The sequence below is a fragment of the Homo sapiens genome, chromosome 19 (genome assembly GCF_000001405.40).
Source record: "Homo sapiens chromosome 19, GRCh38.p14 Primary Assembly".
Taxonomy (NCBI): domain Eukaryota; kingdom Metazoa; phylum Chordata; class Mammalia; order Primates; family Hominidae; genus Homo; species Homo sapiens.
This window is the reverse complement of record NC_000019.10, coordinates 22,435,572-22,463,235: the sequence shown is the minus strand read 5'-3', so window position 1 is coordinate 22,463,235 and position 27,664 is coordinate 22,435,572. Positions and strand designations below refer to the sequence as shown.

At 39.9% G+C, this 27,664-nt stretch overlaps 1 long non-coding RNA gene and 2 pseudogenes across 2 annotated transcripts in view; all 3 read left to right on the top strand.

Moving 5' to 3' along the window:
* LOC105376917 (uncharacterized) overlaps positions 1-7,144 on the top strand; it is a 76,394-nt gene extending 69,250 nt beyond the window's left edge. For both annotated transcript variants that reach the window (NR_160728.1, NR_160727.1), the window contains one exon: positions 6,966-7,144. This is a non-coding gene — a long non-coding RNA (uncharacterized LOC105376917). The remainder of the gene's footprint in view (positions 1-6,965) is intronic.
* On the top strand, positions 5,024-5,907 carry BNIP3P33 (BCL2 interacting protein 3 pseudogene 33; annotated as a pseudogene).
* BNIP3P32 (BCL2 interacting protein 3 pseudogene 32) lies at positions 14,459-15,302 on the top strand (annotated as a pseudogene).

Genomic DNA, 27,664 nt, shown 5'->3' with positions numbered 1-27,664 from the left:
AGACCATAAATTCCTGGTGAGAATTTTGCATGGCATATAAGAAGCCATGATGTAGAGAATGTAGAGAAAGCTCTGGTATATAGGAAAGAAATATTTTTCAGAGAACTTTGACTACCATAAAAAATTTAAAACATACTTAAAACAAACTTATTAGGGAGAAAAAACACAAGTAGAGAGATTAAGGTTTGCAAGTACTGAAAGCACGGCATTCCAGGAGGCAGAGTGGACACAGCTCTTTATCTGAGGCATGTTTAGCTGAAAAAAAGTCATTTTTTCCTCTTTCTACTCCTTCTCTGGAAATTCACTTCAGATGAGATTCTCCGGACAAATTACACCTGGATCTGGAGAATATGCCTTTAAAGGTGTCAGCACCACATGTTCACCTACTACCACCACGCCCACAAGCAGAAGGACCCAGAGCTGCAAAAAAAGTCCACCCATTTCTGTTTTTTATATTAAAATAAAGACTCAGGAATGATGAGCTGCTCCATGGAAATAAAAGTAAAAGCTTCTTCTTTCCTGTCCTCAGGTGACCTCCCTTTTAACAGACTCCATCAATTTCTGCTACAGTAATGAAAATATGAGCTACACTTTCCTGTCACTACCAAATCCAAACAGAACAGGCCCTGTGACCACCCTTTAGTTCAAAGGTGGAACTTAACTTTCATAAATGTATCTCGAACCTCTCATACTTGATTCTGGCCTCACCTAAGGGTCACATGAGGCACTTAATTTAAACAACATGGATGCTTCTACTCAGAATAATAAATAGAACCTGTAAAATAAAAAAGGCATAAGTAAAGAGATTTTGGCAAATTAACCATGTAATCCTAACTAGAAACATGGGCTGATAACCATTTAGCTAAGCATTGCCCCTCAAGCTTTAATAAGCTTTAAAATCACGTGGTAACTTTGGCCCCACTCTGTGTGATATAATCCTGCAGGCTTGGAAAGTGTCTGTAAGTGGGTATTTTACACAAGTTCCCTGTTAATGCTGATGTTGCTTCCCCTGGGCTCATCATTAGCAGTAATTAGAGAAAGCAGGCACAGCAAAGAGTCCCTTACACTGAACACCCTCGTCACAACACACATACTTCTAGGACAAATGAAGACAACCAATTTCCTTATTCTTTGCTGGTTCTTTAAAGTTTACAGAACAAACAGAAGTCAGCAACGTTTGAATAAATTTACATTTGGAAACCAACATGTGCACATGTACTAATGCAATGTTTATTAAGCAGGTACTATGTGCTCAAGAGTATGTTACAGAGCACTGTGCTGGGTATAACGTACTTTGTGATTTAATCCTCATAACACCCTGGGAGCTGGTACTGTCTTTAATAATTCCCTGGTACTGTCTTTAATAATTCCCAGATTTTAGAGAGGGGGGGGCTAGCATTTTTATGTCTTCTTCTGATTATCTGTCATTGACTTTTTTTAAATGTATAGAATAAAACTTAAATATAGACAGGTGAAAGGGATATAGAAAGAGTTTGTATAGTTTAGCAGAATTTGTATTGTGTTTATATTTACTTTTTTTGTGACTTGTGGAACAACTACTGGATCTGCAGAAATAGAGAACAAGTAGTACTTGGACTGTCTCTGCTAGCACTGTTTAAAAAAATTAAAAAAGGCCAGGCACATTGGCTCACACCTGTAATCCCTGCAGTTTGGGAGGCTGAGGTGGGTGGATCACCTGAGGTCAGGAGTTGGACACCAGCCTGGGCAACATGATGAAACCCCACCTCTACTAAAAATATGAAAAATTAGTCAGGCATGGTGGCGGGTGCCTGTAATCCCAGCTACTTTGGAGGCTGAGGCACAAGAATCGCTTGAACTCTGGAGGTGGAGGTTGCAGTGAGCCAAGATCACGCCACTGCACTCCAGCCTGGGTGACAAGAGTGAAATTCCATCTCAATAATAATAATAATAATAATAAATTAAGAACCTAAAATACATTATTTATCCCATTCATCTGCTTTTGGATTTTTAAAAAATTTTGAGCATCAGCTCTAGAGAGGCAAAAGGATTCAAAACTCTCATCTCTTCTTATCAGTTCTGTGAGGCAAAACTCCAGGGTTGGGCCAGACCTTAGTAAGGCCTTCATAGAGGGTGAATCTAAACAGAACTGGGACAGGGAGAGGTTCCTAAGCAGAATTCTGTTCTCTATGACAGTGGGTATTTTGAGTTCTGTTTTTGTAAACTTACCTAAGAGAAACTTAAATCCCAGAGTTTGTGTAACTTTAATCTTTTTTAGCCACTGCCCTGTTAATTTTATAACACATACTAACAGGCAATTTAAACAAATCTCTTAAAGTTTTCTAGGATAATTTTATTTGAAGATAAATATGTATTCCTAGCAAGGTAAAAAGAACAGAAATAATAAGTCTTCTCTCCATAAATATCCCTTTAGGTGATAACATCAGAAGTCGCAACAATATAAAGAAAGTGACCCAAATAAAGCCCAAGTTTTGTTGCACACATCTATTCATTGTACCCACCATATGATGCTCAAATTAGCCATTTTCTCTAGTTGATGGCCTAGACTAAAATTTCCTGGATGGTAGGGGCCATAACTACTTCAGCTATTTTTCTAATGGTCATATGAAATGGAAACTATTAGTTGATCTGTTTGAGTCTCCAGACATCTTCCTTGTTTTTCACTCAAGTACCAGGAAACTGGAGAAACTCTCATCTGGGTACCAACCAAAGATATCTCATGTATGAGGGGAGGAAAACACAGAGTAAACTATTTTACTTAAACTGAACAAAAGCAGAATTATACACTTTTGTCAGCTCGACACAATTCTGTTTTGGACATTTTCAAATTTCTAGTAGATGTCCTGGTGATTGTGAGAGGTTCCCAGTGCTTCTGAGCTGATGGCCCATTGATAAGTCCGGGAAGAGACACTCAGGCTAAATGAAAAATTGAACTGCCCTGGTGAAGCTCCAGAACTTTAATCACCCATCCTGATTAGCTAGCTTTTGGGTTAAAAACAAACAAACAAACAAAGGACAAGAATACTCTACTCCAGTATCACATTTAACACATAGGTGTAGTTTGGTGGAGGCTCTGGATACTTTGTGGCCTTAATCTCTTACTCTGAAGATGCTTGTTTACGCTTATAGATTCTGCCATCAGATTCTATTTACACCTGGAGCCCCTCACATAACTGCAGCAGGTCACTAGACAAGACCTGAAAAACTCAAAGAGCCACATTCTCAAATGGGAACTTCAAGACATCTATGTTGACATCTCACCATGCAGAAAATGTTTCCTGTTTGTTTTCTGTACATTCTAAATCCAAAGCCTGACCTTGCTTTGTGAATCCCAGGCAGAGGTCAGATCTTACATGCAGATTCTATGTCAGATCAGCCTGGCTTTGCATTCTCGGGTGTGACAGCAAGTGGAGTACAGTCAAAAGAGAAATCCCCTCATAGAGGCTGCTCTAGTACATTCTAAATAATATGCCTACCTAAAAGAAATAAGCTGAGGTAACATGAATATATGTAGACAGTTTATTTGGGCCAAGCTTGAGGATTATAACCTGGGAGCAAAGATTCAAGTTGCCTGAAATCTAAACTTTGTTTAGCAACAGTTACAAGTGGATTTGTAAAGCCAAAAAAAGATGGACAGAGATGGGGCTGGTACAAATTTATCAGAAATTTTTATTTATTTACAGAAATAACATTGATTATTGATTCGATGTACATCATTAAGGTTTACAGTATGAATTATAGTGTCCAGAGTGGCATTATTAGTTTAGGTTATAGCTACTGGTGGCAATAGCAAATGCTTTCAAGAGATAAGTACATTATTCAAAAAGGGGAGAAGGACATAAATGTGCTCTCATTTTAATCTCTCTCTGAGTTTGACAACTAAAAAGACTTGCATTCCTCAGAGAAAAGTTTTTTTTTATTTTCCAAATCTCAAGACCTAGATTCAGAATTTGGAGCTGCAGATTTAGGCTCTGGATGGATAGAGTAGCAGCAGGTGGTACCTGCACATTTGTGGGCATTTTAGCAAGAGGAGAAAGGGGAACGTGGAGACTCTCATTTCCACATGTCTACTCAGTGCACACGTTACTCTGATTGGGTACCTGGGGTCCAGGGTCTGTGAGTCAGTTTCAGGACTGAAGATACAAGAGTCATAGAAAGAGGTAAAATGGTTGATTGTTGCCCTGTCAAGTCTGTAGAAATCTGGTCTAGTCTCTCTAGAAGTGACTATAGAAAACTACAGGTATCTAACAGGCAGAGACATAATTCTGCCTGCATATTTAAGAGAAAGCAGGCACTTTGCAGCAAATTTGTTAGTTGACTGGAAGCCTGAGAGGGAAAGTCCTCTCTATAGTAAATTCTGGTTGGCACCTTATATGTTTTTATTGTGTCTGATAATTCTTGACAGTGTTTGGAAAATATAATTAAAAGAAAAATTTTCTGCATCCCCAGAGAAACACCACAATGACAGAACAGTAAGAATGATGTTTTATTACACAATTAATCGAGAATGTGTCATGCATCACAGTCAATCTGCTTAACAGATTGCAAAGACAGAATTAGTCTGTCACCATAATTAGTGGTCACCATAATTAGTCCACAAGTAGAAGAATATATAGCACCATGTCATACATAGTTCATCCTGAACTCACCTGGTAACTGGAGAGGCCATTCATGTATGCTAATTGGTTATATTTAGTGATAAAATAAACTTTTCCCATCTTCATGATATGAGGTAGTTTTGCAACTTGAAGCCAGATGCCTGCTGAAAGTCGGCTCACTCTGCTACACAAACGGTTGATTAGGGTGCTATCTTTTTGGCTATTTACATTTTAAAGCAATGGCTCTCTACTCCCTGAGCACTGGGTTATAGCAATCCTGCTTGCCCTCTCCTGATGGCTAGTGTCCTCTCTTGAACCCTACCATCTGCCACTGAGGTACAGCCTACATACAGCACAGGGCATACAGCTGGCAGCTCACATCTTACATGAACCCCAGTTGCCACAGCAGCACTCCAGCGTCCCATCAGACAATGAAGCCTGAGTAGCAGGAGGAGAGCCTGCAGGCCTCCTGGGTAGAACTGCACCTTCATGATAATGGAAATGAAAGCAGTGTTTCAGCCTCAGTTTCTATTTATAATGGTGACATGAAAAAAATACTGCTGGATTTCCAGCATGAGTCCAGATAGAAATAGGTCTAAGAATTCTCACTGTGACAGCTCACCTTATTCACAGACACCATGGGATACTAACAGGATCCCTGAAACAGCCATACAAAGCACTGGAGAGAAAAACAGCTCTCAGTCTGAGCAAGATTATATGGAGAAAAAAAAAGTTAAAGGCATCTTAAGAACAACACTTTGATTAGACATAAACTTGATCAAATCAGCCAGAAAATATTCTCCTTAAAGGAATTTCTCTCTAAAACCCCAAAGTGCTGCTGGGTGTGGTGGCTCATGCCTGTAATCCCAGCACTTTGGGAGGCCGAGGCAGGCGGATCACTTGTGGCCGGGAGTTCAAGACCAATCTGGCCAACATGGTGAAACCCCATCTCTACTAAAAGTACAAAAATCAGCTGGACTTGGTGGCGTGTGCCTGTGATCCCAGCCACTCAGGAGGCTGAGGCAGGAGAATCAGTTGAGCCTGGGAGGAGGAGGTTGCAGTGAGCCAAGATCACGCCACTGCACTCCAGCCTGGGTGACAGAGCGAGACTCTGTCTCAAAAAACAAACCAACAAAAAAACCCAAAGTGCACAGGTACTCTCAGCATGAGAAACATGAGCATTATGAAAAAGGAAAAAATATTCTCAGCAGAATTTTATAAGGTTTCTCTTTTATCTCTGCTGCTCTCTTATCTCCTAGCCAATGAATGGGAGATCTACAATGGAATACATCTGACAATTTTCATAAGCCCTTGTAGGTGAAAAATTGAAATCTGACTTTGTTTATATAGTGAAATACATTTGACCTTGCAACCCAGCTAAATTAACAGTTATTATGGTTTCTCAGTGACCACTTCACTGGTGTTTATTTGTCCCGTAATAGCAGCATTCCAATTTAGTGAAATGAAAGACACTAAAATTATGCTTATCTGTAACTACCCATATGGGATCAATTAATAAGCATGTTAGACAAATATTTACTGTAACAATTTGGTAGCAATTTTTTGGATATTAGATATAAATAAGTATAAATTAATGTAATAGTCATAATGTATGTAAAATATTTTAAAAGTATCTGTAGCCATAATTCAGTTAAAAAACTTCATTTCAACAGTATGATTAACAATATTAAAATGATTATTTAAAACAATTATTCAAAGTAAATATTTTGCCCTTATATTCCTACTATTGTATGAATACTATTGTAGAAAATACCGTTTAATTTATATAAATGCAGGTTGTTTACTAACAGTACACATAACTATGCTAATTATTCTGAAGTATAAAATAGAAAGCAAAGTACAACTACAGACTCCACAGTTTATACACTGAACTACACTTGCTTTTGCAGTGTAAGTACTTCAACCTGCAAATATTAGATCATTACCTCAGATAATCAGTTTTCTGTCAAAGGAACTTACTCAGTATCTCTTGGCTTTAATCATTCTGTATTGCTAAATTTAATCCTATCTTGGTGCCAAACTTTTGTGTGCACTTAAAATGACATTTATCTAAACAAATCTGTGTCTACCTTAGAAGGCTAATAACAAAAAATATAAACTTTTGCCAAAGCAAAAACAAGCAATGAATCTAAGGTCCTAGATAAAGACAATCCCGAGTAAAAAAGAATGCCAAAAGGTTTATTTAGCTGTTAATATGACTTCCATATATTTCAAAAAAAACAGAGAAAATTGTCTACATATAATATAAATGCTATAAGAAAAGAGAGAAGAGCAAAATATTCTCCTTTATTTTAAGGTATGTGAATAAATCCTCTTATTTCTAATTCATATTTTTTCCTACAACAGCCATGTCCTGGAACATGTTGAACTGTCAAGACGTCGGAATTTCAGTAGACAATGAATTCAGACATCTGTGGAATAGCCTTGGGCACACTGTGTTTATGGGGAAAAAAGCAGAAGAGAAAAATGTGTTATATAAATTTATGGGTGCAAATAAATAAAGCAAGTTCTTAGTGACTTATGAAGACAGACTCTGACACAATAATAGGAGGAAACTACAACACCCCACAGACACTAATAAATGGATTACTGAGGAAAAAAAAACCACAAAGATATTAGGACCTGAACTCAACACTTGACCAAATTGTCCTAACAGACACCTACAGAACTCTCCATCTAAAGACAACATAATATACATCGTTCTCATTACCACAGAGCACATACTTTAAAACTGACCACACATTTAAAACTAAAGCAATCCTCAGCAAATTCAAAAATCCCCAAATCATATCAGCAACACACTCAGACTGCAGCTTGATAAAAATATAATTCAATACAAATAAAAGCACTTGAAACCAGACACATAAAAAATTAAACAACCTACACTTGAATGACTAAAATGAAATTGAGAAGTTCTTTGAAATACGTGAGAACAAAAATACAACACAGCAGAATCACTGCAACACAACTAAGGCAGTGCTATAAACTAAGTGCTCACATCAAAAAGTTAGAAAAATCTCCATTTAACAACCCGATGTCATAAATAGAAGAATGAGAGAAGCAAGAACAAATCAACCCTTAAGCTAGCAGAAGACAAGATATAACAAAAATCACATCTGAACTGAAGAAGATTTAAACATAAAAAACTACAAGAAAGATGGAGAAATCGAAGAGTAAATTTTTTGAAAAAATTAATAATATAAACCACTAGCTAGATTAATGAAGAATAAATAAGCCACTAGCTAGATTAATGAAGAATAAATAAGCCACTAGCTAGATTAATGAAGAAACAATTAGAAATGATAAAACAGACAATACCCAACAAAAATACAAATAATAATTAAAGTCTACAGTGAACATTTCTACGCACACAAACTAGAAAATCTAGAAGAAATGAATGAATTCCTGGACAAATACATCTTCCCAAGATTGAACAACAACAACAACAAAAACTGAATCCCTTAATAGAACAATAAAAAGCTCCAAAATTTAATTAGTAATAAACAGCCTACCAACCAAAAAAAGCCCAGGACCAGACAGACTTACAGCTGAATTCTACCAGATGTACAAAGAACTGCTATTATTCCTACTAAAACTATTCCAAATAATTGAGAAGGAACTCCTCCCCAACTCGTTATATAAGAACAGCATCATTCTGATACCAAAACCTAGCAGAGACAAAACAAAACAAAGAAAACCTCAGGCCAATATTCTTAATAAACATTGATAAAAAATTCCCAACAAAATACTGACAAACCAAATCCAGAAGCACATCAAAAAGTTAATCGACTATGGGTTGGGTGTGGTGGCTCACGCCTGTAATCCCAGCACTTTGGGAAGCCGAGGTGGGTGGATCACCTGAGGTCAGGAGTTCGAGACCAGCCTGGCCAAAATGGTGAAACCTCGTTTCTACTAAAAATACAAAAATTAGGCGGGCATGGTGACAGGCACCTGTAATCCCAGCTACTTGGAAGGCTGAGGCAGGAGAATCGCTTGAACCCGGGAGGCGGAGGTTGCGGTGAGCTGATATCACGCCACTGCACTCCAGCCTAGGCGAGAAAATGAGACTCCATCTCAAAAAATAAATAAATAAAATAAAAGTCAGTCGACTATGATCAAGTAAGCTTTATCCCTGGATGCAGGGTTGCTTCAAATCAATAAAAGTGATTCATCGCATAAACAGAAATAAAGACAAAACCCACAAGATTATCTCAATAGATGCAGAAAAATCTTTCAATAAAGTTTAACATCCTTTATGTTATCACCCTCAATAGACTAGGCATTGAAGGTACATTCTTCAAAATAATGAGTTATCTATGAAAAACCCACAGCCAATATACCAAATAGATGCAAGTTGAAACCATTTCTTTTTGAAAACTGGCACAAGACAAGAATGCCTTCTCTCAGGGGCCGGTCGTGGTGGCTCACGACGGTAATCCCTACACTTTGGGAGGCCGAGACGGGCGGATCACGAGGTCAGGAGATCGAGACCATCCTGGCTAGCACAGTGAAACCTTATCTCTACTAAAAATACAAAAATTAGCCGGTCGTGGTGGCAGGCGCTTGTAGTCCCAGCTACTCGGGAGGTTGAGGCAGAGAATGGCGTGAACCCGGGAGGCGGAGCTTGCGGTGAGCCGAGATCGCGCCACTGCACTCCAGCCTGGGTGTCAGAGCGAGACTCCTTCTAAAAAAATAAATAAATAAATAAAAATAATAAATAAATAAATAAGAAATATTTTTCAGAGACCCTTGACTATCAATAAAATTTTTAAAAAGTAGTTAAACTCATTAGGGAGGAAAAACACAAGAAGAGAAGTAAAGGTTTGCAAGTACTAAACGCATGGAATTTCAGGAGGCAGAATGGACACAGCTCTTGATCTGAGACGTGTTTAGCTTAAAAAAAGGCATATTTTTTCCGTATCTCCTCCTTCCCTGGGATTCCTTTTCAGTTGAGATTCTCTGGACAAATTAGACCTGCATCTTGAGAATATGCCTTTAAAGGTGTCAGCACCACCTGTTTACCTGCTACCACCACACCCACAGGCAGAAGTACCAAGACCCGCTGAAAAAGTCCACCCATTTCTGTCCTTTATAACATGAAAAATTCAGGAACAATTAGTTGCTCCATGATTATAGAAATATGTGTTTCTCCTTTCCTGTCTTAGGTGCCCTTCCCTGGCACAGATACCAACAATCTCTGCTACAGTAATGAAAATATGGGCCACACTGCCCTGTCCATACCAAAACCAAACAGAACAGGCCCTATGATCACCCTGTAGTAAAGAGGTGAAACTGAACTCTCATGAGTGTATCTTCAACCCCTCATACGTGATTCTGGCCTCACCTTAGAATCACATGAGGCTCTTAATTAAAACAACATGGATGTGTCCAACAATAAAAAGAACCCGTGGAAAGGGCACGAGCAAAGATATTTCTGTGAATTGGCCATGTAATCTGAGTATCCACATCTAAGTAATCCACATTAATTACAATGGCAGAAACTGTAATAACTTTTGCACCAAACTAATAGAACCCTGGGTTTATAACCACTTAGCTAAGCATTGTCTCTCAAGCTTTAATGAGTTTATAAACCACTCGGTAATTTTAATCTCTTTCTGTGTAATGTGATTCTTCAGGTTTTCAAAGAGTACATGAATGTGTGTTTTAAATAAGTCCCCTGTCAATGCGGATGATGCTCCCCCAGGCTCATTATTAGCATTAGTTAGAGAAAGCAGGCACAGCACAGAGTCCCTTATACTTGGCACTGTTGTCACAACACAAATACTTCTGGCACAAATGAAGACAACTAATCTCCATCCTAAAGCATCAAATTCTTCGCTGGCTCTTTAAAGTTTACAGAGGCAACAAAAGGTAGCAGTGCCTGAATAAGCCTGCATTTGGAAAACAACATGTACACATGGACTAATGCAATGTTTACTAAGCAGGTACTAGGTAAGCAAGAGTATGTTGCAGAGCACTGCGCTAGAAATAATGCATTATGTGATTTAATCCTCATAACACACTGGGAGTTGGTACTAAGTGTTTGATAATTCCCAGCATTAGGTTAAGGGCCCAGCATATGTATTTCATCTTCTGTTTCTGTTCTTGGTTTTTTAAAGAAAATGTATACAATAAAAGCTAAATGTAGACAGATGACTGGAATACAGAAAAGTTTAATGCAGTTTAGAGAAACTTTTATTGTGGTTTATATTTGCTTTTTTGTGACTTGTGGAGCAACTACTGAATCTGCAGGAATAGAAAACAAGTTGCTAAATGGAATGTCTCTGCAAGCACTGATTTAATAGAAAATTTAAAAATGAAGACCTTAAAATATATACTTTATTTTTCCCATTTATCTCCTTCGGGGTGCAGAAAATTGTGAGTACCAGCTTTAGAAAGGCAGCAGGATTCACCAGCCAAAACTCTGATCTCTTCCAATCAGTTCTGTGAGGCAAGACTCCAGAGTGGGGCCAGATCTAAATAAGACCCTCAAATAGAGTGAATCTGAACAGAACTGGGCAGGGAGTGGACCTTATGTAGAATTCTGTTCTCTGTGCCACTGGGGTATTTCCAGTTGTGTTTCCCTAAGCTTGCCTAAGAGAAACTTATATCTCAGAGTTTATATAATTTTTTTTTAGCCACTGCCCTGTCGATTATATAATGCATACTAATAAGCAATTTAAATAAATATCGTAAGGCTTTCTAGGGTAATTATTAGAAGATAAATATATATTCTTAGGTAATAGAAATGCATGTAATAATAACAACTCTTCTTTTCATAAATATCCCTTTAGTTGATGACATAAGAAGTCACTACAAGATAAAGAAAGGGGCCCAGATAAAGCCCAAGGTTTTTTGCACACATCTGTTCATTGTATCAACCATACGATGCTTACTTCAACCCTTTATTCAGGTGCTAGTCTAGACTAAAAGTTCCTGGATGGTAGGAACTATGACTGCTTCATCTATTTTTCTAATGGCCATATGAAATAAAAGCAATTAGTTTATTCGTTTGAGTCTCCAGACATCCTGGTTGTTTTTCACCCAAGTACCAGAAAACTGGAGAAACTCTCATCTGGGTACCCACCAAAGTCATCTCTTGTGTGAGGGAAGGAGCAAACACAGGATGACTCAATTTTTACACTGAGACAAGCAGAATTAACCACTTTTGTTAACCTGGCACAATTCTGCTCCGGACGTGCTCAAATGTCTCAAAGACACCCAGCTGATTGTGAGAGTTCCCAGTGACCCTGGGCTGATGGCCCAATGATAAGCCAGGCAGGAGAGACTCAAGCTAATTAGCTAATTCTTTTTTTTTTTTTTTCTTTGAGACGGAGTCTCGCTCTGTCTCCCAGGCTAGAGTGCAGTGACACAATCTCGGCTCACTGCAACCTCCACCTCCCAAGTTCAAGCGATTCTCCTGCCTCAGCCTCCTGAGTAGCTGGGATTACAGACACATGCCAACACGTCTGGCTAATTTTTGTATTTTTAGTAGGGACAGGGTTTCACCATGTTGTCCAGGCTGGTCTCCTGACCTTAGGTGATCTGCCCACCTTGACCTCCCAAAGAGCTGGGATTACAGGTGTGAGCCACTGCGCTCGGCCGACTCAGGCTAATTCTAAATAAAAAATTAAACTGCCCTGGAGAAGCTCGAGAATCTGGATCACCTGTCCTGATTATCTAGCTCTTAGGTAAGAGGAAGAACAGGAATATTCTACTCCAGTCCCACATTTTATAGGTAGGTATAGTTTTGGTTATGGCTCTGGATACATTATCATCTTGATCTCTCACTCTGAAGATACTTGTTCACACTTACATATTCTGCCATCAGATTCTATTTATACCTGATGCCCCTTACATAACTGTAGCATGTCACCGGACAAGATCTGAGAAGCTGAAAGAATCACATTCTCAAAGGGGAACTTTAAGATGTCTATGTTGACATCTGACAATGCAGAAAATGTCTCTTGTTGGTTTTTTCTACATTCTCAATTCAAAGTCTGGCCTTATCTTATAAATTCCAGGAAGACGCCAGACCTTATTTACAGATTCTAGGTGGGATCAACCTGGCTTTTCATTCTTGGGTGTTACAGCAAGCAGAGTACAATCAAAGGAAAGATCCCTTTATAGAGGCTGCTTTAGCACGTTCTAAATGATATGTCTACCTAAAAGAAATAAAGCTAAGGCAACATGAATATAAGTAGACAGTTTATTGAGGCAAAGCTTGAGGATTGTAACCTGGGAGCAAACCTTCAAGTTGCAGGTCATCTACACTTTGATTAGGAGCAGTTATAAGTCGATCCGAAAAGGCAAAAAGAGAAGGACAGAGAGATGGCTGATATAAAATTGTTTATCAGAAATTTTCATTAATTTACAGAAATGACATTGATTATTGATTGGATATACATCGTTAAAATTTAGAGTATGGTTATAGTGTCCAGTGTGGCATTATTAGTTTAATTTATAGCTATTGGTGGCAGTAGCTAACAGTTTTAAGAGATAAATACATAATTCAGGGCCGGGCGCAGCGGCTCACGCCTGTAATTTTCCAGCAGTCTGGGAGGTCGAGGCAGGTGGATCACTTGAGGTCAGGAGTTCAAGACCAGCCTGGCCAACATGGTGAAACCCTGTCTCTACTAAAAATACAAAAATTAGCCAGGGCACGTGCCTGTAATTCCAGCTACTTGGGAAGCTGAGGCAGGAGAATCACTTGAACCCAGGAGGCGGAGGTTGCAGTGAGCAGAGATCGCACCACTGTACCCTGGCCTTGGTCATAGAGCAAGACTCTGTCTCAAAAAAAAAAAAAAAAAAAACACATAATTTAAAGATGGGAAAAAGACAAAACTGTGTTGTCATTTTAATGTCTCTCTGAGTTTGACAACTAAAAGAACTTGCATTCCTCAGATGAAAGGTTTTTTGTTTTTTTTTTTGTTTTCCAAATCTCAAGACCTAGATTTAGAATTTGGAGCTTCAGCAGGTGTTATTTGCATATTTGTGGGTATTTTAGCAATAGGAGGAAGGGGAAAGTGGAGATTCTCATATCTACATGTCTACTCAACACTCACATGTTACTCTGATTGGGTTTCTGGGCCCCCTGGTCTCTGAATTAGTTTCAGGTCTGAAGATACAAGAGTCACTGAAAGAGGTGAAATGGTTGATTGCCATCCTGTGAAGTTTGTAGAAATGTATGAGCTGACTGGAAGCCTGAGAGGAAAAATCCTCTCTAGAGTAAAGCTTGGTTGGCATGTGTTTATATCATGTCTGCTAATTCTAGACAGTGTATGGAAAATATAATTAAAAGAAAAATTTTCTCCAGCCCCAGAAAATCTCCAAAATGAGAGAACAGAAAGAAAACTGTTTTATTACACAATTTAACCTGAATGTGACACGCATCACAGTCAATCTGCTCAACAGATTGCAAAGACAGAAAGACAGTCACCATAGTTAGTCCACAAGTAGAAAAATTTACAGCACCATGTCATACGTAGTTCATCCTAAATTCCGCTGGTAATTGGCAAGGCCATCCGTGTATGCTAATTGGTTATATTCAATGACAAAATAAACTTTTCACATCTTCATAACAGGAGGTAATTTTGCAACTTGAAGCCAGGTGCCTGCTGAAGGTAGGCTCCCACTCTCCTACAGAAATGGTTGAATAGGGTGTTATCTTTTTGGCTATTTATATTTTAAAGCAATGGCTCTTTACTCCTTTAGCACTGGGCTAGAGCACCCTGCTTGCCCTCTCCTGATGGCCATGTCCTCTCTTGACGCCTACCATCTGCCACTGACGCAGAGGCCACAACATAAAGCTTGTCACTGGCAGCTCACATCTTACATGAACCCCAGTTGCCACAGCAGCACTCCAGCGTCCCATCAGACAATGAAGCCTGAGCTGCAGGAGGAGAGCCTGCAGGCCTCCTGGGTGAAATTGCACCTTCACGATAATGGGAATGGGAGCAGTGTTTCAGCCTCAGCTTCTATTTATAATGGTGACATGAAAAAAATACTGCTGGATTTCCAGCATGAGTCCAGATAGAGATAGATCTAAGAATTCTCCCTGTGACAGCCCACCTTATTCACAGACACCATGGGATACTAATAGGACCCCTGAAACAGACACCCAAAGGATTTGAGCAAAAAACAGCTCTCTATCTGAGCAAGATTATATTGAGAGAAAATAAAAAGTTAAAAATTTCTCTTTAAATACCCAAAGTGCACAACTATTCTCAGCATGAGAAACATGAACATTATTTAAAAAGGGGATGAGCCAGGCGTGGTGGCTCACTCCTGTAATCCCAGCACTTTGGGAGGCTGAGGAGGGCGGATCACCTGAGGACAGGAATTCAAGACCTGCCCGGCCAACATGGCAAAACCCCGTCTCTACTAAAAATACAAAAATTGGCCAGGCCTGGTGTTGCGTGCCTGTAATCCCAGCTACTAGGGGGGCTGAGGCAAAAGGATCGCTTGAACCTGGGAAGCAGAGGTTGCAGTGAGCCGAGATCGTGCCACTGCCCTCCAGCCTGGGCAACAGAGCAAGACTCTGTCTCGAAAAAAAAAGCAGGGGGTACAAATTCTCAGCAAAATTTTATAAGGTTTCTCTTTCATCTCTGCTGCTGTCTCATCTCCTAACCATTAGATGGGGGAACTATATTGAAACACATCTGACAATTTCCACTAGCACATTAGATGAAGAATTTGAATCTGGCTTTGTTTACACACTGGAATATATTTGAGCTTGCAGCATAGCTAACTGAAGAGCTATTACAATCTTGGCATGGCCACATCACTTGTCATGTTTGCTTGTCCTGTAATAGCAGCATTCAAATTTAGTGACATAATAGACATTAAAATCATGCTTACCTATAATTATCCCTATTGGATAAACTAATAAGCATGTCAGACTCATATCTACTACAACAATTTTGTAGTGAATTTTCTTTGGATATTAGATATAAATATCTAAGGATAAATAATTTTAATGTACTAGTCATAATGTAGAATTATTAAAAATTACTTGTAACCATAATTCAGTTAAAACATTTTATATTTAAAAAGTATGAATAACAATATTAAAATAACTATTTAAGAAATTCTAGCCGGGCATGGTGGTGCGCGCCTGTAATCCCAGCTACTGGGGAAGCTGAGGCAGGAGAATCGCTTGTACCTGGGAGGCAGAGGTTGCAGTGAGCCGTGATTGTGCCACTGCACTCCAGCTTGGGAGACAGAGCAAGACTCTGCTTCAAAAAAAAAAAAAAATAAAGGAAACTCATTGAAAGTAAATATTGTGGCCAGGCATGGTGGCTCACATCTGAAATCCCAGCACTTTGGGAGGCAGGAGTCTGAGGCCAGCCTGGCCAACATGGTGAAACCCCGTACCTACTAAAAATACAAAAATTACCCAGGCGTGGTGGCGTGCTCCTATAATCCCAGCTACTCAGGAGGCTGAGGCAGGAAAACTGCTTGAACCGAGGAGGCAGAGGTTGTAGTGAGCCAAAATGGCACCACTGCACTCCAGCCTGGGCAACAGAGTGAGACTCCATCTCAAAAAAAAAAAAATTTACTAAATATTGTGTCATATTCATACTATTGTAGAAAATACTGCATAATTTATATGAATGCAAGTTGTCTACAAACACTACAAATAACTATGCTAATTGTTCTGAAGTAATAAATCGAAACCAAATACAACTACAGACTCCACTGTTCAGTTTATACACTGAACGGTTTTTGATTTTGCAGTGTAAGTACTTCAGCCTGCAAATATTAGATAATTACCTTGGATTATCAATTTTCTGTCAAAGAACCTTACTCAGCATCTTTTAATCTCTATCACTCTGTAGTGCTAAATGTAATCCTATCTTTGTGTTCAATTTTTGTGGCTCTTAAAATGAGCTTTAATCTAAACAAATCTATGTCTACTTTAAAAGACTAAAAAAAAATATATATATATGTATATACTTTTGCCAAAGCAAAAACAAAGCAATGGTTCTGTGGTTCTCAATTAAGACGATTCTGAGTAAAAAACAAAACAAAACAAAAAACCACAAGATTGATCTAGCTGTAAATATGATTTACAAATATTGGCCAGGTGCAGTGGCTCACGCCTGTAATCCCAGCACTTTGGGAGGCCAGGGCTGGTGGATCACAAGGTCAGGAGTTCAAGACCAACCTGGCCAAGATGGTGAAACCCCGTCTCTACTAAAAATACAAAACAATTAGCCGGGCGTGGTGGCGGGTGCCTGTAATCCCAGGTACTGGGAGGCTGAAGCAGAGAATTGATTAAACCTGGGAGACAGAGATTGGCTGCAGTGAGCTGAGATTGTGCCACTGCACCCCAGCCTGGGCGACAGAGCAAGACTCCATTTCAAAAAACAAAACAAAACAAACAACAACAAAAAAGATTTACAAATATTTTTTAAAAGCAGAGAAAAATATGTACATATAATCTAAATGCTTTAAGAAAAGAGAGAAACACAATATCCTCCCTTATTTTCAGTTAACAGAATAAAGCTTCTTATTTCTAATTTATATTTTCTCCTACAACAGCCAAGTCTCTGGACATGTTCTTAAACTCTTGGACATCTGAATTTAATTAGACACTGTATTCAGACATCTAAGAAGCAGCCTTGGGCATACCGTGTGTGCACTTGAAAGAATGCTTATATCCGGGCGTGGTGGCTTACGCCTGTAATCCCAGCACTTTGGGAGGCCGAGTCAGGCGGATCAAGAGGTCAGGAAATCGAGACCATCCTGGCTAACGCGGTGATACCTTGTCTCTACTAAAAACATAAAAAATAGCCGAGAACGCACCACTGCACTCCAGCCTGGACGACAGAGTGAGACTCCATCTCAAAAACAAAAAAGCAGAAGAGAGAAAAGTGTTCTAAAAAATGCATGGGTGTATATGTATAAAGCAATTTCTTAGAGACTTATGAAGAGAGTTAGATTCTGAAAAAATAATAGTGGGAGACTACAACACCCCACAGACTCTATTAGACAGATTATTAGGCAGAAAATTAACAAAGATTTTAAAACCTAAACTCAACACTTGATCAAATAGTCCTACTAGACATCTATAGAAGTGTCCATCTAAAACCAACATTGTATTCATTCTTCTCATCACCACGTGTCACATACTCTAAAATTGACCACATGATCAGAAATAAAACAATTCTCAGCAAATTCAGTCTTCCCAAAATCATACCAAAAACACAAACAGACCACAGCTTGATAAGGATATAATTCAATATATAGGAAACCACCTGAAACCATATAATTACATGGAAATTAAACAATCTGAACCTGGATGACTTTTGGGAAAATAATGAAATTAAGGCAAAAATCAAGAAGTTCTTTGAAACAAATGACAACGAAGATACAACCTACCAGAATCTCTGCAACACAGCTAAGGCAGTCTTAAGAAAAAACTTTATAGCACTAAAAACTCAAATAAAAAAGTTAAAAATAAATTTTAAAACCTAACATCATAAATAAAAGAATGAGAGAAGCAAGAGAAGACCAACCCCTAAGCTAGCAGAAGACAAGAAATAACCAAAATCAGATCTGCACTGAACGAGATTTAGACATGAAAAGTTATACAAAGTATCAAGAAATCCAGGAGTTAAATCTTTTGGAAAAAATAATGAGATGAACCATAGCAAGACTGTGAAGAAAGAAGATCCAAATAAACACAATTAGAAATGACAAAAGGGACATTACCATTGAGTCCCACAAAAATACAAATAACTATTGAAGTCTACTATGAACACCACTATGCACACAAACTAGAAAATCTGAAAGAAGTGAATAAATTCCTGGATGAGTAAACTCTCCCAAGACTAAAAAAATACTAAATTGCAGCCCTGAATAGACCAATAACAAGCTCCAAAATTGAATTAGTAGTAAATAGCCTACCAACCAAAAACAGGGGAAAAAAAAAGACCAGACAGATTCACAGCTGAATTTTAGCAGATGTACGAAGAAAAGCTGGTATTATACCTTCTATAACTATTATTAAAAATTGAAAAGAAGGGACTCCCCCTTAACCCTTAACTCATTATGTAAGAACAACATCATTCTGACACCAAAACCTGATAGAAACAAAACAAAAAAGAAAACTTCACGCCAATATCATTGACGAATGTTGCTTCAAAAATCCTCAACAAAATACTGGCAAAGCAAATCCAGCAGCAAATTAAAAAGCTAATGCACTATGATCAATTAGGCTTTAGTCCTGGGATGCAAGGTTGGTTCAGTGCACACAAATTAATAAATCTGATTCATCACATAAACAGAACTAAATACAAGAATCACAAGATTATTTCAATAGATGCAGAAAAATATTTCAATAAAATCTAGCATCCTTCATGTTTAAAACCCTCAAAAAACTAAAAGCCTTAAAAGCACATATTTCAAAATAATGAGTTATTTATGAGAAATCCATAGATACCATACAGAATGGACACAAGCTGCAAGCATTCCTTCTTGAAAAATGGCACAAGACAAGGATGCCTTCTCTCACCACTTGTATTCAACATAGAATTGGAAGTCTTGGCCAGAGCAATCAAGCAAGAGAAAGAAATAAAAGGCATCCAAAAAGAAAAAAAAAATCAAATTATCCTTGTTTTCAGATGGCATGATTCTATATCTAGAAAACCCTATAATCTTTGCAGAAAAGCTTCTTCTTTTTTTTTTTTTTTTTGAGACAGAGTTTTGCTCTGTCACCCAGGCTAGAGTGCAATGGCATGATCTTAGCTCACTTCAACCTCCACCTCCTGGGTTCAAGCGATTCTCCTGCCTCAGCCTCTCGAGTAGCTGGAATTACAGGCATGCGCCACCATGCTCAGCTAATTTTTGTATTTTTAGCAGAGACGGGTTTCACAATGTTGGCCAGGCTGATCTCGAACTCCTCACCTCAGGTGATCCACCTGCCTTGGCCTCCCAAGGTGCTGAGATTACAGGTGTGAGCCACCATGCCTGGCCTGGAAAAGCTTCTTAAACTGACAACTTCAGCAAAGTTTCAGGATAAAAAATAAATGTAAAGAAATCAGTACCATCCCTGTACATAAAAAACATCCAAGCCAAAAGCCAAATCAAAAACATAATCCCATTCACAATTGCCACAAAAAGAATAAAATATCTAGGAATATAGCTAACCACGGAGGTGAAAGATCTCTAAGACGAAAATTACAGGGCACTGCTAAGAAGTCAGAGATGACACAAACAAATGGAAAACTGTTTCATAGCCTGGAAGGCTGAGGTGGCTGGATCACGTGAGGTCAGGAGTTTGAGACCAGGCTGGTCAACATAGTGAAACCCCGTTTCTACAAAAAAATACAAAAATTAGATGATGTGGTGGCACACACCTGTAGTCCCAGGTACTGGGAAGGCTTAGGTGGGAGAATCACTTGAACCCAGGAGAGAGAGGTTGCCGTGAGCCAAGGCGGCACCACTGTACTCCAGCCTGACCACAGAGTGAGACCCAGTCTCAAAAAAAAAAAAAAAAAATAGCCATACTGCCTAAAATTTTTTTACAGATTTAGTGCTATTTCTATTAAACTACCAAGACATTCTTTTCTTTTTTCTTTTTCTTTTTTTTTTTTTGAGACAGAATCTTACTCTGTCACCCAGGCTGAAGTACAATGTCGTGGTCTTGGCTCACTGCAACCTCCACTTCCCAGGTTCAAGTGATTCTCCCGCCTCAGCCTCACAAGTAGCTGGGACTACAGGCGGGTGCCACCACGCCTGGCTAATTTTTTGTATTTTTAGTAGAGACAAGGTTTCACTGTGTTAGCCAGGTTGGTCTCAATCTCCTGACCTTGTGATCCACCCACCTCGGCCTCCCAAAGTGCTGGGATTACAGGCGTGAGCCACCACACCCAGCAACATTCTTAATAGAACTAAAAAACACTATTTTAAAATTCATATGGAACCAAAAAAGAGCCCAAACAGCCAAGGTAATCCTAAGCAAAAAGAATAAAGCTAGAGGCATTACATTACCCAACTTCAAACTATATTACAGGGCTATAGACACCAAAGCAGCATGGTACTAGTACAAAAGCAGACTCATAGACCAATGCAACAGGACAGAGAGCCCAGAAATAATGCCTCACACTTACAACCATCTGATTTTTGACAAGGCTGACAAGAGGAATGCGGGAATAATTCCCTATTTAATAAATGATGCTGAAATAACTAGCAAATACTATGTAGAAGATTGAAACTGCACCCCATCCTTACACCATATACAAAAATAAACTCAAGATGAATTCAAGACTTAAATGTAAAATTTAAAATTATAAGGAAGAAATGCCCTGGAAAACAACCTAGGAAATACCATTCTAGACATAGAAACTGACAAAGATTTTATGATGAAAATATTAAAAACAGGAGGCTGAAGCAGGCAATTCACCTGCGGTCAGAAGTTCGAGATCAGCCTGCCCAATATGGTGAAAAGCCATCTCTACTAAAATACAAAAAAAAAAAAAAGCCAGGCATGATGGCTCACGCCTATAATCCCAGTACTTTCTTTGGAAGGCCGAGGTAGGCAGATTACCTGAGGTCAGGAGATCGAGACCAGCCTGACCAACATGGAGAAACCCCATCTCTACTAAAAATACAAAATTAGCCGGGCGTAGGGGTGCATGGCTGTAATCCCAGCTCCTCAGGAGGCTGAGGCAGGAGAAGCCCTTGAACCCGGGATTTGAAGGTTGTGGTGAGCTGAGATCCCACCATTGCACTCCAGCCTGGGCAACAAGAGCAAAACTCCAACTCAAAAAAAACACAAACACAAAAACAAAAACAAAAAAATTAGCTGGATGCGGTGTCATGCACCTGTAGTCCCAGCTACTGGGGAGGCTGAGGCAAGAGAATTGCTTGAACCCCGGGAGGCAAAGCTGAGATTATGCCACTGCACTCTAGCCTGGGAAACAGAGAGAGACTCCATCTCAAAAAAAAAAAAAAAAAAAAAGGCTGGGCTCAGTGGCTCACACCTATAATCTCAACACTTTGGGAGGCTGAGGTGAATGGATCATCTGAGGTCAGGAGTTCAAGACCAGCCTGACCAACATGGTGAAACTCCTTCTCTACTAAAAATACAAAAATTAGCCGGGCATGGTGGTGCATGCCTGTAATCCCAGCTACTCAGGAGGCTGAGGCAGTAGAATCGCTTGAACCCGGGAGGTGGAGGTTGCAGTGAGCCAAGACTGCACCGTTGCACTCCAGCCTGGGCAACAAGAGCGAGACTCCATCTGGAAAAAAAAAAAAAAATTAGCCGGGCGTGGTGGCAGGCGCCTGTAATCCCAGCTACTCCTGAGGCTAGACAGGAGAATTGCTTGAACCCGAGAGGCGGAGGTTACGGTGAGCCATAGCACTCCAGCCTGGACAACAGAGGGAGACTCCATCTCAAAAAAAAAAAAAAAGTTATTGGGGGGTACATTCGAGACCCTGCTTGAAAAACATGTAAACAGCCGAGCATGGTGGCGGGTGCCTGTAATCCCAGCTACTCGGGAGGCTGAGGCAGGAGAATCGCTTGAACCCGGGGGGCGGAGTTGCCGTTGGCTGAGATCGCGCCACTGCACTCCAGCCTGGGCAACAATAACGAAACTCCGTCTCAAAAAAAAGAAAGAAAGAAAGAAGGAAGGGAGGGAGAAGCAAAGAAAAGAAGAGAAGAGAGAAGAGAAAAGAAGGATTCCTATTTAAAAAAAAATCGAACTCAAATGAGTTCGATTTTTTATAAATTACTACATTAGAGGAAACAAAATTCAAGTTTAACCAACTATAATCTGCCAATTAAGCTTTGATTGCATAACCAGGAAATTTGTAGGCTCAAGGTGGAAATTAGGAAACTACGTAACTATATCTGATTACTGAATTTGGATTTTTTCATCATGCACTTTATAAAAGTCTTTTCTTAAAGCCCCTGCAATGGACCACAAACTACAACCCATAGGGGTGCTCTATAATTTTTGAACAACTCTCTTTGATTAAATTCTTTAATATTTTTGTGGTGGCTCCCATAATTATTTTTTTTTTTGAGCTGGAGTTCAAGACCAGCCTAACCAACATGGAGAAACCCTGTCTCTACTAAAAATACAAATTAGCTGGGCATGGTGGTGCATTCCTGTAATTTCAGCTACTAGAGGGGCTGAGGCAGGAGAATTGCTTGAACTCGGGAGGCAGAGGTTGCGCGTGAGCTGAGATCGCGCCATTGCACTCCAGCCTGGGCAACAAGAGCAAAACTCCATCTCAAAAAAAAAAAAAAACCAACTTTAGATATTAATATCACTCCGTCACCATCAAAAATGTACTTATTGGCCTGGCATGGTGGCTCACGTGTGTAATCCCAGCACTTTGGGAGGCCGAGGCAGGCAGATCACCTAAGGTCAGCGTTCAAGACCAGGCTGGCCCACATGGTGAAACCCTGTCTCTACAAAAATACAAAAATTAGCCGAGCATGATGGTAAGTGCCTATAATCCCAGCTACTTGGGAGGCTGCGGCAGGAGAATCACTTGAACTGGGGAGGCGGAGGTTATAATGAGCCGAGATCGCGCCACTGCACTCCAACCTGGGCAACAAAGCAAGACTGTTTCAAAAAATAAAAATAAAAATTTACTTATTTAGTGTCAAATCCTACTGTAAAAAAGCAGAACTGTGGGGGTTTTTTAAGTGGAAACATGGATTCAGGTTATTTTATTTTATTTGTGTTTTTATTTTTTGAGATGAAGTTTCGCTCAGTCACCCAGGCTGGAGTGCAATGGTGTGATCTCGGCTCACTGCAAACTCCGCCTCCTGGCTTCAGGCAATTCTCCTGCCTGGGCCTCCCAAGTAGCTGTGATTACAAGTGCCTGCCACCACTGCTGGCTAATTTTTGTATTTTTGGTAGAGACAGAGTTTCACCATGTTGGCCAGACTAGTCTCGAACTCCTGACCTCAGGTGATCTGCCTGCCTCAGCCTCCCAAAGTACTGGGATTACAGGCATAAGCCACTGCACCAGGCCTATTATTTATTTTTAAAAGGTTAGAAGGGGCTTCCTTGTGTTGAAATCTGCTGTTTCCAGAAGAAAAATATAAACCTGGCCTGTTTTAGGATCTACCTATTTTCTTAAATTTTCAGTTTGATTATGTCACATTTAGCACAAGTGACTTGTTTTGGTTCAGTTTGGTTTGGTCTGTTTGGAACTAGTGCACAAGCTCAGTTTACAATGATGGACTCCAATAACTTTTTGTTTTGAGACAGAGTCTCGCTCTGTCGCCAGGCTGGAGTGCAGTGGTGTGATCTCAGCTCATTGAAACCTCTGCCTTGTGGGTTCAAGCCATTCTCCTGCTTCAGCCTCCCAAGTAGCTGGGATTACAGGCACGCACCACCACACCCAGCTAATTTTTGTATTTTTGTTAGAGACAGGGTTTCACCCTGTTGGCAGGATGGTCTCGATCTCCTGACCTTGTGATCTGCCCTCCTCGGCCCACAAAGTGCTGGGATTACAGGTGTGAGCCACCGCGCTGAGCCAACTTTGTTTTTAAAACTCTCCCTTTTTGGTAAAGTTCTTACGTAGGTCAGAGTGTGACCAAAACTCAGGGCCTTAGTGCCACTCTCAATTTCCATTATTTAGGGTTTTTGTCCTTATAATGTTATTCACAGGTTATGGTGTCTTCATAGTCACATATGTCTTTGAGTTTCTGTCATTCCCATTAAAAAGACACCATTTGACATTCTAGAGATGACTGTATGCAAACCTTTAGAACTTTTGAGAGAATACGGTGCAGTAGGGAGACTACTATTTTGATTTTCAGGAGGATAATACCAAGAGTTGAAACCAGCCGGGCATAGTGGCTCATGCCTGTAATATTAGCAATTTGAGAGGCCGAGGAGGGCAGATTACCTGAGGTCAGGAGTTCAGGATCACCCTGGCCAACATGGTGAAACCCCGTCTCTACTAAAAATACTAAAAATTAGCCAGGTGCAGTGGTGTGCACCTGTAATCCCAGCCACTCGGGAGGCTGAGGCAGGAGAATCACTTGAACCCAGGAAGTGGAGGTTGCGGTGAGTCGAGATTATGCCACTGCACTCCAGCCTGGACTACAGAGTGCGACTTTGTCTCAGAAAAAAAAAAAAAAAATGTTGAAACCATGCTTCTTAGCCAGGGTCCCCATGAACAACCAACTAAAATTCAATAGATTAAATAATTAGCTAGATAAATGATCTCATTTCAACCAAGCAGCCTGTTCATTAATCCCCTACAATTGCATCTTTGTAATACCCAATGTATTCTACCATGTGCAACTACAAGTATCAGCAACAGCACAGGTAGTTCTCTGTTTATCCAGTAAGTAATCAAAAGAAATTCTATTATTTAGCACAACTTTAGTAACAACATTTAACACCTGTTGCGTAACCATAGTCTTTACATTAGAATCTGCTATAGAGCCCTATTTTTGGGGATAAATTTCTTACCATTGCTTCATTTATGCTAAGCCATGGAAAAAATGATCTAACAAATGATGCCCATTCAGAAGAGTAATGGCCTGCTGGCAATGCTCTTTAACCCATTCTGAAGAAGTTATTTTTAACTTATGAAGTAAGTTTAAAGCAGTGGATCGATATTCTTTTTCTGAAATTATGAGGCAACAAATGTTTCATTAAAACTTCTCACCCACATTAGCTCTTCATCTTTTACCTATCAAGGCAAAAGTTTTGTTATATATAATGTTGTCAGCAAAATTCTCTACCTATGAGTATACCCCATGAGTGCATACAAGAGATTCCTTTTTTATTTCTGTTGTTTGTAGAGCCATTAGAAAACTGTGAACAAACTCTGCTATGATAGCAGAGATGTCTTGATTTTTTCTTTCGAGACGGAGTCTCGCTCTGTAGCCCACGCTGGAGTGCAGTGGTGCAATCTCCGCTCACTGCAAACTCCGCCTCCTGGATCCTGATTCAAGCAATTCTCCTGCCTCAGCCTCCTGAGTAGCTGGGATTATAGGCACGTGTCACAATGCCCAGCTAATTTTTATACTTTTTATTTTATTTTATTTTTTTTGAGATGGAGTCTTGCTCTGTTGCCCAGGCTGGAGTGCAGTGGTGCAATCTTGGCTCACTGCAACCTCCGCCTCCCAGGTTCAAGTAATTCTCCTGCCTCAGCCTCCTGAGTAGCTGGGATTACAGGCGCACACCACTACACCCGGCTAATTGCTAATTTTTGTATTTTTAGTAGAGACAGGGTTTCACCATGTTGGCCAGGCTGGTCTTCAACTCCTGACCTCGTAATCCACCCACCTCGGCCTCCCAAAGTGCTGTTATTACAGGCGTAAGCCACCACGCCCGGCCTTGATTTTTGATCTTATAAAGAAAGCTGTCTAGATCAAGATTGCTATCTTCTTTTGAGGAGAAACTTTCCTGCTTACCTTTGCTTAAGATCTCCTATGAGTTTACAATTGAAAGAGTTTGGATAGGCCCTTCTAAGTTGTGAGACTATGAACCCAATGTTCAAGGTCTTGAAGTCTTGCTTCAGGGTAGATGGCAGTAAGACTCAGTCTCTGGATTCTAGATTATAAAGGGTTCTACTATCCTCAGTCAATAGACTGTTCAAGACTTTCTTCACTTGGTGAAAATATGCTATATTAGACTTCTGGCCAGGAGCAGTGGCTCACGCCTGTAATCCTAGCACTTTGGGAGGCCGAGGTGGGTGGACCACCTGAGGTCAGGAGTTTGAGACCAGCCTGGCCAACATGGTGAAACCCCATCTCTCCTAAAAATACAAAAAATTAGCTGGGCATTGTGGTGGGCGTCTGTAATCCCAGCTACTTGAGAGGTTGAGGCAGGAGAATCGGTCGAACCCAGGAGGCCAAGGTTGCAGGGAGCTGAGATTATGCCATTACACTTCAGCCTGGGCAACAAGAGTGAAACTCTGTCTAAAAAAAAAAAGAAATATTAGACTTTCATGGAAAACCCAAATGCCCATCAATGATAGACTGGATAAAGAAAATGTGGTACACATACACCATGGAATACTACATAGCCATAAAAAAGAATGAGATAATATCCTTTACAGGGACATGGATGAAGCTGGAAGGTCTCATCCTCAGCAAACAAACACAGGAAGAGAAAACCAAACACCTCATGTTCTCATTCATAAGTGAGAGTTTAACAATGAGAACACATGGACACAGGAAGGGGAACAACACACACCAAGGCCTGTTGGGAGGTTGGGGGCAAGGGTGCAAAACTTAGAAGATGGGTCAATAGGTGCAGCAGACCACCATGGCACACATATACCTATGTAACAAACCTGCACATTCTGCACATGTATCCCAGAACTTAAAGTAAATTAAAAAAAAAAAACAAAAAACACTGGACTTCAGTAGCAGAAGATACATGAGCTTTTATTAGGTGCATAGGCCTTCCAATGAGTATATTATATGGGCCAACTTTTTTTTTTTTTTGAGATGCAGTCTCACTCTGTCACTCAGGCTGGAGTGCAGTGGCACAATCTTGGCTCACTGCAACCTCCACCTCCCGGGTTCAAGCGATTGTTCTGCCTCAGCCTCCCAAATAGCTGGGACTACAGGTGCGTACCACCATGCCCGACTAATTTCTGTATTTTTCGTATAGATGGGGTTTCACCATATTGGCCAGGCTGGGCTCGAACTCCTAACCTGATCCACGCACCTTGGCCTCCCAGAGTGCCGGGATTGCAGTCATGAGCAACCACACCCACCAGGACAACATATTTTTTCCTCTCTCAGTGGATCTGATTGTCATCAATCTGCAATTACAAAAGCAATCCAGTCAATGTAGTTAGCTTTGCACAATACTATTGTATCTGTAATTCCTTATGTAACAGTTTTACAATTTGTCTAGTGAAATAAACATCTTTATCATTGGAGGCTTTTTCAGAAATGTTCCATGAGAAAAATGTATTTATTTATATCCTTTTAGCTACTGTTATAACATCAGTTTTCTTGCATAAGAAAGCTTTTATATTACCAGAAAATATGTATTAAAAATGATAATTGAATAAAATTTTTGTAACCATGATTAAATGGC